This window comes from Homo sapiens, chromosome 10 (genome assembly GCF_000001405.40).
Source record: "Homo sapiens chromosome 10, GRCh38.p14 Primary Assembly".
NCBI classification, from domain to species: domain Eukaryota; kingdom Metazoa; phylum Chordata; class Mammalia; order Primates; family Hominidae; genus Homo; species Homo sapiens.
In genome coordinates, this window is record NC_000010.11 from 20,851,853 (window position 1) to 20,865,970 (window position 14,118).

The 14,118-nt window shown below is 36.4% G+C and overlaps 1 protein-coding gene and 1 long non-coding RNA gene across 20 annotated transcripts in view; one reads left to right on the top strand and one right to left on the bottom strand.

Annotated features, from left to right (window-relative positions):
* NEBL (nebulette) overlaps positions 1–14,118 on the bottom strand; it is a 513,078-nt gene that overhangs the window by 71,880 nt on the left and 427,080 nt on the right. For 7 of the 17 annotated variants that reach the window (XR_001746995.3, XR_242691.6, XM_047424443.1 and 4 more), the window contains 3 exons: positions 7,861–7,974; positions 6,388–6,492; positions 693–797 (listed from right to left, as the gene is read on the bottom strand). The exons of the other annotated variants lie outside the window; for them this stretch is intronic. Coding sequence is in view for 5 of the 7 variants with exons in the window: in XM_047424443.1 (XP_047280399.1) it covers positions 693–797; positions 6,388–6,492; positions 7,861–7,974 (324 nt within the window). In the remaining 2 variants the exon portion in view is untranslated. The remainder of the gene's footprint in view (positions 1–692; positions 798–6,387; positions 6,493–7,860; positions 7,975–14,118) is intronic. 17 annotated transcript variants of the gene reach the window in all.
* Positions 1–14,118, top strand: part of LOC102725112 (uncharacterized) — a 39,354-nt gene that overhangs the window by 6,264 nt on the left and 18,972 nt on the right. For 2 of the 3 annotated variants that reach the window (XR_930737.4, XR_007062083.1), the window contains exons 3-4: positions 1,164–1,304; positions 13,488–13,615. This is a non-coding gene — a long non-coding RNA (uncharacterized LOC102725112). The remainder of the gene's footprint in view (positions 1–1,163; positions 1,305–13,487; positions 13,616–14,118) is intronic. The other variant, XR_007062082.1, reaches the window with a different exon arrangement.

Sequence of the window (14,118 nt, forward strand, 5' to 3'; positions counted from 1 at the left end):
CTTAAAGGGGAACTGTTTCGTATATTTTTAAAACCAATGAAGGTGAGTACGAAATTATTATGGACTTTAAGTTCCACAGAATACATTTAAAAGAGTGATATAATATTTTATCTTAACAGATGCTGGAACTGACATCTTTGCAACTATTTAAGCTCAGAATTAAAAAAAAATAACGACTTTAAAGTATGCTAGAGAGAAGATATTTTTTAAGTTTATTCAGGGGGTACCTAGAATTTCATATTGGAAAAAAATATTAATCAAGAATACATTAGTCATATTGTATTCCCTTTTAATAACACTTATAATTGAAATAAGAAATTATAATAAACCTTGCACCTGGAAAATTAACGTTACTGCTCAAAATGACAAATCAAGACACTAGAAAAATTTAAATCATCATGTGGTTTGACCATAGTTTAATTAATTCCTATCTTGTAACTTTTTAATTATGTGAATTAACGGTTATTTTACAAAATGCCTTTAGATTGAAATATGGTTCAAGCTCCCCTGACCCCAATACCTACACAGCAAATAGTGTTTGAGATTTTCAAAAGTAATGTTAATATTCTCAGGATTTATTCTTTTCTGCAACTGTACTTTCTCAGTTAAGACGCACGGCAGTGAGCGGCGGGCCTCAGGATGGTTACGGGTTGCTGGCAGGGAGGGTAGGTACCGTACGGGCAAGTGTGTACCTGACTTTGGAGGACGGCATTGCCTTTATGGTGCAGATGTTCCACAGCATCTGCATCAAAATGATACATTCCTTTGTTTTCCTCAAAGAGCTTTTTATATTCTCGCTAAAATACAGAATGGGGAAATCAACTTAGAATCAAAGAGACTGATTAGAGCAATAAATACTTAGAAATACAAACTGCACATTACAAGCCACCAAGAGCTGCAAAGCTGTTGCCAAGTCCCCATCTGCAGTTGGCTGGCAGGTAGGAGGTTTCTGACACTGAGATACACAGACAATGCAAGACAGACCAGCTCTAGGTCAGCATATGAAACACGCAAGAGAGGCAGAGGACAATTAACCGCAAACATAATGTAAAGGATATTCACAACACCAGCGTGTGGCAACGGAAAGCTAGCGCTAGGACATGCGGAAAAAGGTAAAGTGGGGAAAAATAAAAGCAATTTGTCTTGCTCTTATCTTATGACAGGAATATGTTTAATACTGTTCAAAAGAAGAGAAGGAAAGAAAAGCAAAAAGAACAGAGGAAAAGAAACCCAGAGGCAAGGAATAAAAAAGTCCTATACAAAAAGACTCCACCACAAAGAAGATTGAGAGGCACAAGGAAAATGTAAGAGAAATAAGCAACTATTGTTCCTAAAAGGAAAGGGTAAAAGGTGCCTGAAAGAGAAATTGAGAAATCTGGGAACAGTCAGTTGAGTTTTTAAGGTGAAAAAATTGGATGAAGGCTACTATTTGGACATATAGACAAAAAGTTGAATTTGGAAGACACCAAATTGAACAGGGATGCCAAGTTTGGCCACTGAAAGAAGCTAAATGTAACAGGCAGCAATATGACAAAAATTGTTTCATTAGCAACCTAAGTGTCCATCAACAGATGAATGAATAAAGAAAATGTGGCACATATACACAACGGAATACTATACAGCCACAAAAATGAACGAGATCCTGCCATTTGCAACAACATGGATGGAACTGGAGGTCATTATGTTAAGTGAAATAAGCCAGGCACAGAACAACAGATTTCACATGTTCTCACTCATATGTGGGAGCTAAAATAGTGAGACCCCAGTTCTACAAAAAATAAAGAAATCAGCTGGGCATGGTGACATGCACCTATAGCCCCAGCTACTCGGGAGGCTGAACTTATGAAGACAGAGTAGAATGATGGCTACCAGCAGCTGGGAAGAGTGGTGGGGAGAGGAGATAAAGTGGAGATGGTTAAGGAGTGCAAAAATACCGTTAGAGAGAATGAGTTTAAGATCTAGTATTCAATGCCACAATAGGGTGACCATAGTTAACAATAATTTATTGTACATTTTAAAATAACTAAGAGTGGAATTGAAATGTTCCTAACAGAAAGAAACGACAAATGCTTGAACTGATGGATACCTCAATTATCCTAATTTGATCAATACACACTGTATGCCTGTATCAAAACATTACATTTACCCCATAAATATATACAACCATTATGTATCAATAACAATTATAAATTAGAAAATTTTAAAAATAATTATTTCATGATTTCTATCATTGGAGATTGGACACTTTGTTATTTTGCCTTATTTGGAAAAGACCTTTAGTAGTAAATGGTAGCTCTTAAAGACTCAAGGCTACAGAGACTTAAGAAGCTAAAGATAGCTGCTTATTAGACAATGGGGTACCAGTAAAAATGGCAATAGAGTGGAGGGATCCAAAAACAGTATTTGAAAGGGAGCGGGAAAGAGCTGGCCATAAGGAAATTTGCATTTTGATCTTAGGGGATACTCCAGGGATTTCAGAGTGAAAGAGGAAGAAAGCTCAGTGCTAGGAATGGAACAGATGACCAAGTGGCCTGCCACAAGAGAGCTACCCTTTCTAGTGGGACAAAGCAATAGTCCCCAGAGGGAGCCTGGCCTCAGGTGCTTCCACTCAATTAGGGAGCTGCAATATATGTTCCCCCAAACCTAACCAGAATAAAATCAGGGAGGAAAGCACCCCCCAGGAAGGACATGAAAATGTTCATATAGTACTTTTTTTTTTTTTTTTTTTTTTGGACAGGGTCTTGCTCTGTCACCCAGGCTGGAGTGCAGTGGAGGGATCATGGCTCACTGCAGCCTTGACCTCCTGGGCTCAAGCAATCTTCCCATCTTAGCCTCCCAAGTAGCTGGGGCTATAGGTGCATGTCACCATGCCTAGCTAATTTCTTTATTTTTTGTGGAGCTAGGGTCCCACTACGCTGCCCACGCTGGTCTCAAACTCCTGGCCTCAAGCCATCCTCCTGCCTTGGCCTCCCAAAATGCTGGAATTACAGACAGGAGCTACTGCACCTAGCCCACAGAGTACATCGTGATGGAAGGAAACAAGTTATAAATTTTGGCTCCTCTAATGTTTTTTTAAAAAAGCCTTTTTTTGGCTAGGCGCGGTGGCTCACACCTGTAATCCCAGCACTCTGGGAGGCAGAGACAGGCGGATCATGAGGTCAAGAGATCTAGACCATCCCTGGCCAACATGGTCAAACTCTATCTCTACTACAAATACGAAATTAGCTGGGAGTGGTGGGGTGCACCTAGTAGTAGTAGTCCCAGCTACTCAGGAGGCTGAGGCAGGAGAATCGCTTGAACCTGGGAGCGGAGGTTGCAGTGAGCTGAGATCGTGCCACTGCACTCCATCCTGGAGACAGAGCGAGAGTCCGTCTTAAAAAAAAAAAAAAAGTGTTTTTTTTTTAACCAGTTAAAATCTGGAAAGAAAGATAATAATACAGACTTTATAATTTGATTAGAAGTTATCTTGTAATATGTATTTATAAAATAATCATGAATGTAACAAGCTACAACATAGTCCATTACTGAGTTAAAATCCACAACAAATACATATAAATATATGTAAAATAATGAATATATACTGAAAAATTCAGTAAATATTGTTCCCAACACAATTATCGATTTTAGTTACAAAGAATTTCAGAAACTCCTATTTAAGAAAACAAAACAAAACAAAAAAAAAACGAAGGAAAACTTAATTGAATTAAGATCTGCAAAAGAACTTCGAATGCGTGTCTTTCCTTATATAACAGTCTCTGCTACCTCCTAGTGGGAGATACACGGAGTAACACAAAATATATATTTCTTAATTTATGTAAAGTTGTGAAAGAAACTCAACACTACCAGAGGTCCATTTTCCAGGGGAAAATGTTTTCCAAAACTTTAATTAGAATGATTTTACACAGTAATTAAGGCACTCATATCACTCTTTAGAGTTTGGGTTAAAATAAAAGTAACTCTGATGTTGCTAAAGACATCTAGGGGTCTTTAAAACAATAGCTACTGTGACAAATGGATAATTTTGGCAGAATATCTCTTATTGAGCAATCTTATTCAATCTTTTAATTTATAAATCAACACAACTCCAATTTTTTACATTAAAATGTTAAAGTAGGCTATTCTTTGTTTCTTCACAAATGCTAGATAAAGGAGGCCATTCTAATATACAATAAAGTTGAGCAAATGTATACAGCTTTATACAATGTACACAACTTTGTAAGGAGACACTTCAAAAGGAACACATTTTTAAGTCTTTCTCTCCCAGGAAGTAGTCAATCACAATTTGTCTATGGGGAAAAAGAAATCTGTCCTCTAGGCAAAAGCACCACCTAAATGAAGATCTAAACTTTATATATGATACATGAAATAAGTAACGTATGACTTTGCTGTGTTTTCTCTGTTGAAGAGATGATAGAAACAATTTATATTAGACTGCGATTTTTTTCTCTGTTATTATAAAATAAAGGTCAACGTTCTTGAAAAGCAATATTGCATAGGAGTGGCACGCTTTCTTCCAGCCACCAAATGTTGAAATTACCACCATGATATTTTTATTGGCTTATTTACACATGAATCCCCATGTCCCTAGGAAATTGAATTTAAGTATGGCTAGAGAAAGGTCAAGGGCAAATGCCACTGCCATGATGAAAACTGGATGCCAAAGAATGAATGTGAAGAAAGCAGGGGGCTCAGGGAATAGAAATATATCAATTTTAGAAGCATATCTATGAGTCGTGGAGAAAAAAGACAGAAATAGAGACACTCAAGGAATAGAGGAATGTAAAAAGAGGTGTGGGAATGAAGACTGAAGTGCAAGCCAGCATGATGTAAGTGTCCTGGAACTGACTGCCAATTCTGGGCCCTCCAGATATTCCTCTAACCTCCATTCCCTGTTCAATAGCCTGGGAACATTAATGTACTGCTTTTCATCCAAGGACCAATGATTAAAAAAATAAATAAATTTATTTTTATTTTATTTTATTCTATGTATTTATTTATTTTTTAGACAGAGTCTCACTCTTGCCTAGGCTGGAGCACATTGGTGCCATCTCAGCTCACAGCAACCTCCCAAGTTTAAATGATTCTCCTGCCTCAGTCTCCTGAGTAGCTGGGATTATAGATGCCCACCACCACGCCTAGCTAATTTTTGTATTTTTAGTAGAGACGAGGTTTCACCATGTTGGCCAGGCTAGCCTTGAACTTCTGACCTCAGGTGATCCACCCGCCTCCCACAGTGCTGGGATTACAGGCATGAAACACCATGCCCAGCCAGAAAAAAATAAACTTTTAAAAACTCTGTATGAATTATTTGCATGCATAATACCATTAAGGAAGGAAGACAGTGGCAGTGATATTCCAGAAAGGAGGCTTACAAAATAATAAACATACATTTCAAAACACTGAAGCCAAGTATAGATTATTTCTAAAATTGACCTGAAGCTGTATCTCCTTATTTAACTGTCTGGAAACTAAGTTTTGCCTATAGATTTCTAAGTCTAGGCCCATCAACTGAAGACAACTATCTTCATTTTTTCTCATGTCTTCCCCAACATATATTTCTGCATCTAATCTATGCCTGGCCCAAAGCAGATATTCAATAAATTATGATTAATTTTGAGCAAGTGAGTGAGAAAGTGATTATTAAAATAGGTATGGAAATAACTTATGGTCAAATAAGAGCTCATTGCCACCATGAGATGTACAAAATGGAGCCAAATGTGTCTTAGGGCTGTCAGTTACGAGAGCTAGCGAAGTCAGGGTCCTGATGTGCTATGGGTTGAAACAGCATTCAGCGTAGTGAGAGTCCTGCAGGACTGACCACGTGGGCAGTGCACCCAGATATTTTCATCAAGACATGAAGAACTCACCTTTCTCTTCTGGTTGCCTTGACCGAGAACATGGAAACCATGACAAGACTAAAAGCGATGTGTCAATGCAGTATAAATGCTGTTAGGAATTATTTGCAGAGAAAATACAGTTTAGACTAAGACAATTTTTCATGCTACTGAAGGCGTACTAAATACAAGACACTCTGGTCTGGCCTGCATAAAGTAAAATATCCCTGACTTGAGAGCCTGAACTTCAAGTGGCTTTAATCTAACACAGATGAAGTAAGGGAAAGAAGAATGATGGAAAGGCCACTGTGCAGACACTTTGAAGTATAGTTGTATGCAGGAGATACTGGAGAGCAAGCAAGAACCTCCTTTGCAAAGTGACAGCTCTGGTGGGATTTCTGCAAGCAGAGGACTGTTTTTCAATGAGTTAGTTAACGAGGGAGGAGTGAGGCACAGGCCTTCTAAGGAAGCAGGTGAGCACATGAACGCTGCAGACATATTGGCTTCTTGGAGCCACAAGGCAACTACGGTTGCCGCTAGATGAACCACTTACGCCGCTGAGCATTTTGCTGGCTTTCAAAACATGGTCTAAAAACAACAAATTTGGGAGATCTGAAACTGGATCATGCATATTTTGAATGTCTTTCTTGTACTTCACCTATGAAAATAACATGGAACAAAATACCATCGAGGAGAAGAAAATATTATGCTTTTGCATTATTGCATTTTTCATACATCATAAAGTAGGACTATTTAGTGGTAAATGGACAGACGAATTTACAAGGAGCCACTAGATGGTGCTGATTTACTACTGAATGAATTTTAAAAAGTTATTTCTATATGGGCTTGAGAATACTTGGATAATTCCTTTTGTTGTTCACATATTCAGGAAGGGTAATGTCAATAGAATAAAGTAATTTTCACAGTAACTCTGCTTTCAAAAAATAAAGAGAATAGCCACTTTATTCTTTAGAAATTACTACAGTATTTCAACTATGCTTTGTGGAGATCTGAGGATTTTGATGTTTCCCATCCTATCACCACAGGCTTTTTTAAAGCAACTTTTTGAAAATATAATACCAGTAATAATAAACCATTGATAGCAAGCATATCACACACTTACTATGTGCCACTTTTCTAAATTCCTTTATATGTATTAAGTATTGAATCTCCACAATAACCTCTTTATTAAGTAGGTACTTTAAGTAGCCCCATTTTATAGATAAGAAAACTGAGGCATAGAAAGACAAAGACATAGTAATACTTGATAAAACAGGATTTAGATCCAAGCAATCTGACTCCAAACCTTTAGCTTTCAGCACTATGTTCCATGTTCCTTTAAGTATATTTCATCTCTATTTCTAAGAAAGCAACAGATCAATAATACATAATTTTTATACTTGAGAAGGAAATCTAAATATTTTCAACTATAGCAAAGTAATCAATTTTTTGATGTTGCTGTTTTTATACTCTAATTCTAACAAGAATTTAAAACATCATTTCTTGTAAAATGAATTTTGATGATTTTTAAAAACACAGAATGAAAACAAATCACATAAGGAAGTACTTCACAGCATTTTCACAAGGGATAAAAAATAAATTGTGAGGCATTACAGTAAAATTTCTAAAAATTTCTTTATATGATAAATTACCATGTACCAGGCAGTACTTTACAATAAACTCAATTTCATAGCCATAATTACATGAGGTAACTACTGTCCTAACCACTAATTTGTGTTAATACAGACCACTTCTCTGCAAAATTCTATAATCTATTTCCACTCTTGAACAGATATAATAACTTCATTTGCAACACTATTCCTACTTATTAACTAATTAGTAATCAGTAACCATTAAAAATTAATTACAATAATATATTTTTCTCAGAAAAAGCTTTAGAAAAATATGCTTCAGTTCAACTACAAATTACTTGGAAGCTAAGTATCAGTAATTACAACACAGTCGATTCTAAAAAAAACAAGAATCAAAAGATTTTGAAAATAATTTTCTATGAATTACAACTTACATTGCTCGCCAGTGTAGCAGCAAGCTGATTCTGCCTAAAAGAAGCACTTTCAAGAGGATTGTAATGATGTTTCTTATCCTTCATTTCATTATCAAATTTTTCTTTGTATTTAATCTGTCATAAAAGAGAAATAGTACATGTAACTTTACATTTAAAAGTAACACATATGATTTTCACGTAGATAAAATAAAAGCTACCTTAAAAATGAATGTTGCCAAGTGTAAATTCCTGGTATCCATCGCCTTCTATAAAGCTTAATTAGGCACAAAAGTTTTTATCTTTAATAAAAAAAACTCTGCTTCTACATTGATCACAAATGCAATTAGGCATGAACTCAAATCCTATTAATGAGAATTATGCACTAAAATACCAACATTTTTAAATGTCAGTTTTCATTTCTGCATTTCTATAATCTATGATCAGTTAGAAACCTAGACCACAAATGTCTTAAGGTCTAACACATTTAGAAAATAGATTCTAGGCCCCAGAATTTAAATATTTTTCCTAAGGGAATTATTCCAAATAAAGAGCATGACGTGTACCACAGTTTTTCTCATCATTTCCTATACTTCATTTGCTCAAAAATTTAGTTTTAGGAATTACATTTTCTGAAATGTCCTGGGTCAACTTAATGTCAATGTAAAACTTTCTCTGCTTTAATTCCACTAAATTCAGCAGGAAAACCATCTCCAATACTCTCTCTAAATTGTTTGTCTCCTTTTAAAGCACTCTTAAAACAACCAAAAAGGGATTATCAACTTATTTGGTAGGACTATATTTTTCTCCATGTATAGAGAAATATGAGAATGCATGTCATAACTAATTAGAATATAAACACAAGTTCACTACAAAAAGAAAAAAAAAAAAAAAAAAAACCTAGCTATTCACATGTCATACCCCCTTTAACTTACTGTAGCCAGGAAAGGGTGTATTGATTTCACAGGTCAAAGTAAGCTGTTTTGTTCTCTCATAATATTTTTCTGATGTTATAATTATTACCATGTTTGGTTTTCTAACAACATTCTGATAATGCACCTTTATTCATACATCTAAAGGCTCTGCTTTGCAGAAGACTTTATTAAAAAGCAATTTGGGATGACTCTCATCAAATATTTTAGGCATGCATAGGGTGATGGTCTCCTTCAGGGACACATGTTTGGAACCTATTAGAGAGAGCTAGAGAAAATCTTGGTGGGAATACAGCATTTGGTAAATATTTTGAGATGGTTTACAGGGAATATTTTCTGTTCTGGTTCCATTTGATAATAAAAAATTTCTGATATTCTCAATACCTTACAAACTGATTTTAAGTAATCAGCAAGAACTCTTTAAAAAAAGAAAAACTGACTTTTTTTATTATTTTGTGTCTTGAAATCAATAACAAAATTACAAATGAAATAAATTTAGATTTCCTTCAGTACTTTATACAGTAGGTGGCACAAAAGCAATGATTCACTCTGCCTGGTCGTCCCTTAAATATATAGTCTTAGAGTCTCACTCTATCACCCAGGCTGGAGTGCAGTGGCACGATCTCAGCTCACTGCAAGCTCCACCTCCCAGGTTCACGCCATTCTCCTGCCTCAGCCTCCCAAGCAGCTGGGACTACAGGTGCTCGCCACCACGCTCAGCTAATTTTTTGTATTTTTAGCAGAGACAGGGTTTCACCATGTTAGCCAGGATGGTCTCGATCTCCTGACCTTCATCTCCTGACCCACCTTGGCCTCCCAAAGTGCTGGGATTACAGGCGTGAGCCACCGCGCCCAGCCACAGTCTTATTGCCCTCTTCACCCTTCTGCTATACTTTTACCATATTTTCGTCACTGGTTCTGTCTCTCCTAAGTTTGTAGTGCCTAAAGGATATTCACTGAACAAAGATGGTGGACTCTTCAACAGCCTTCCGCTGGAATGACACTTCTGACTCAGCCAGATTCATTAACACTGTATTAGCTAAATGGTAAAAGTAGGTTATATGATCTTTGCACACACAGAGCCCATCATACTGTTTTTGCAAACTCTGAGGTTTCCAGCATAATTACACTAGAGTATTTGAAAATGATACTGATAAATTCCTTTGTTATTAAACCTTGCATATGCTCTCCCAAGTAAATGTTACAGACACCCCTTCCTCAACTTATGATGGGGTTGCATCTCAGTAAACCCACCGTAAGTTAAAAATGTAAGTTAAAAATGCACCATATACCCCTAACCTACCAAACATCACAGCTTCGCCTGGCCTACCTTAAACATGCTCAGAACAACTCCCTTAGCCTATAGCTAGGCAAAATCATCTAATAACAAGCCTGTTTTACACACGTTGAACATCTCATATAATTTGTTGAATACTGTAATGAAAGTGAAAGGCAGAATCATTATATGGGTACTTGAAGTATGGTTTCTACTAAATGTGTATCACTTCCACGCCATGGTAAGGTTAAACAGTCTTAAACTGAACCACTAGAAGTCAGGGACCATCTATGCATTTCTAAGAAACAATAATCAATCTGTTATTCATATATTTATATTAAATGTAATAATAAGCATTGTATTGTGAAATTTATCTTGTTTGAACGTTCAGTACAGTGAGTGATTTGATTCAAGATGCCTAAGGAACAAAAACACAAGTTTCCCTCATTAATGAACCACAATAGTAACATAACTACATTATATAAAAAAATGCACGGACCAGACACTGACACCCAATTGTTTCTAACCTCGCTCTTTCTGTAAGGAATGCAGGTAAAATGAACTAAGATCACCAAATGGTTGCAGTGAGTCACATCACTCACCTTCGGACTTGTTCACTCGCCAACTACACAGACACACTCAACATTCTATTGTATTTTCAATCTAGAGTTCATACATCTGTGTGTCTACCTCCTCATGCAGGTTTGCATCTTCTGAGAGATCCAGGAAATGCTTTTCCTTGACTATAACTTGTTATCCAACCATGGAACAAGGCATAACCCTTTCAGTTTTAAGATCATTTGAGAAAGGGAGGAACAGGTATTGGAGTGACTTTGCCATGGTTTTAAGACACAATGTTACTCCTTATACCTACATAATTATTCTGGAAACAAATGAAGTTACTCCATATGACTGGCTTTATTTACATTATGACTAGTGTGCCTAGTGGTCCCAATATTTATCACCTTTTTTTATTAATTTTTTTTATTTTTAATCTCTGTGGGTACACAGTAGGTGTATGTATTATATTTATGGGGTACATTATATGTTTTGATACAGGCATGCAGTGCATAATAATCACATCAGGGAAATAACACCTTTTGAAAAAATACTGTATAGGTATATAGGATCAAACTCCTAGATGTTTTTTAAAGAATTATAAGAGACAGCAGGATTTTCAGAGGCTCACACTTGGAGAAAACACGGATACTGTTAAGCTACAGTGACGGCATTGTAGCTCCCCATAACTGCACAACTTCTCATATAAAGAAATGAGAAGTTACATCTGCATATCCTCATATGAGGATCCAGATCCTCATAACTGCACCTGGGTATGTGTGAAGTCTAACACGCAAACCCAAAACTTTACACTGACATCATCTGTGACTCAGAATCGCAAAAAGCCAGCAAAGGCACAAAAAAGCAGACCCTGAATGAAGGTGTTTCACCATAGCCACATAAACACATTTTAGCAAAGAAATAGCTTGATAAGTGTACCTTAATTATCATTGAAAATGAAAAGTAAGCAAATAACACAATACTACGTATCTATAGATATCAATCCCCAGCAATCTTGGATGAAATCAAACTAAAAGCTGTCAAGGAAGACAGGACAGATTTTTACATAGAACTCATCATAAAATCAATAATATCTTTAAGTCTTAATTTTACACAACACAATATCTCTGCTCTTATTTTCCTTGCAAAATAACGTCTTACTGACTTTGCACCAAATGTTAATGATCCAGAGAATATTGGTTTAACCAGGCTCCATACACCTATTGGCAGCCTAATCTGTTTTCCCATAATAGTGGATCAAAGGCATATGAGCCCTGTCTCCATGGAGCCTGCCTTGTGGGAAGTGAAATGGATTTCGAAAACACACACATACACGTATATATTATGCAACTACTACAAATCGTATTAAGAACTGTAAAGAAGAGGAGAGAATAAAGGGGAGGAGAGCAATATTTAAATTGGCGAGTCAGGAACATGATATTTGAGCTGATACTTGGGTGTGATGAGGTTGGAGGAGGGAGTGCTTGCCAGGATGGGAGAATGGTAAATTCCCCAAACCAATTAATACCCCTTGCAATTTAAGGCCACTGCTTACTACTAAATTTTCATGGCAATTTATAATGTGATTTTTAGGTTTAAAACCCATTCTTATCAATGTATTAATGCAATTTTAAAACAATGCTAATTATTATAAATACATAGCTTTTCCTTGAGGTTATAAAACTGAACAAGGAATCTATTCATCATATAGACAAATTCCAAGTAACAAGATGATCTATGGATATATTAATTAATAAACTACTCTTAGAATTTTTAAAGTCAATGACTTCAACAGTTACTGTACTTAAATCTGAGATACATATGCACCAATCCCTTCATCTTCGCATAGGAGATTTTTGTTTTAGTTTTTTAATGACTTTTTAAAATAACCTGGCCATAATTGTATGTATATTGCAAATTTTAAAAAGGGAAAGTTTACAACTACGGGAGCAAAGCTATTGTAGAAGTTAATATAAGAAGGGTTTGGTATGTGTTCCCACTACCTTTCCTGGGTAAAATCCCACAGAGTTCAATTTACAGATAAAAGGTGAGAATCCTGCCCATTCACTCTCTGTTCCCATCCTTTCATCAGACAGGTCTTATCTCCACATACTTTGACCATTGCCTTGTCATTGCCTTCTCTGTTACAATGCTTCTGGTGCTGTGGTGCTCTTTTTCTCCCTGCATTCTATCCATTCTCATCTCCCTGTTATTAAATCCCTAAATCATTTGCCTTCTATGTATTTATGTGCCTTTATCATTAGTTTAGGAGCAAACTAAAAACTTTAATGCTGTCAGTGAAAATAAGAAACTAAACTTGCTGCCCAAATTTCTGTTATAATTGATATACCTGAAAATACAAATGGAATACACTGAGTTCATCCCAGAATTCCTATTATTTATTTTCCCAGCTTTCCCCTTTTCTTGTGAGTTTTATACAGCTTATAAAATCTTATATGACATGAAAAAATGAATACGATAGCTATAATGTAAGTTAAAAATTAAAATCTGCTTAAGAATCTGATCACTCAGTTGCTAAATAATTTGAGATTGAAGGAAAAAAATCTGCTTTCAAGTCCAAGTAAGGATCACATGGGGGAATTTTTGTGGATTGAATTTGAAATGTGAAAATAAAGCTCAAATGTCAAAACTTTCTTCTAAGGGCTCTCAAATAGGATTGTGATGGAATGAATTTAAGGCCAGAATCTCACAGACAGTGTTCATATTCCTTCTCCACTCTGTGCATGAATTCATCTAAAAATGTAGAACAGAAAACTATTTTGAATACCTAAAGTAAAATTATTCCTATGAAATTATGTCATGTTTCTATGGGCCAGGCACCATTTTAAGTGTTTTACTCACAGTAACTCATTTAACCTTCACAGCAGCCCTGAGAAGTAAATACTGTTGCTGTCATCCCTATTTTACAAATGAGGAAACAAAAATAGAGAAATGAAGCAATTTGTCCAAGATCACTCTGCTGGCAAGCAACAGAACCAGGAGTTTAACCCAGGTACAGCCCAGCTCCAGGGTACATTTTCTTAACCACTAGACCAAACCATACTGCTTCTCCGGGATTTGCTTTGTCTCCTGTGTAACTGATGGGGAATCTTTGTCCCCAGAAAAGGGCGAAGTTGTAAGAGGCCAGTAGCTATGCTGGAAATCTGAAGTGATGCCCATATCCCCTGTCTCTTCAACTAGCATTACTGGGAATATGTAGAGCTTAGAGTCACCGCCCTTTAATGCAAGTGTCACCCAGACATGTCCCCAACCTCTTGCACATCAGTAGCCTCCTGAGTTATAAAGTCGCTTTATAAGTGAAAGTCCCTTGTTAACTGTAAAACAATTACTATGAGGCACAATTGCATTTGGGCATCTCTCATGTCTGCCTCTCCCAGGGAGCAGTTGTGTCCACTTCATTTTCATTCCTACTGTCACAGAGTCTATTCAGGTACTGATCACTTTATGTGTAGATTACCACTGTCACAGCCCAGCTGGCTTCTGGGAGGTTCACCA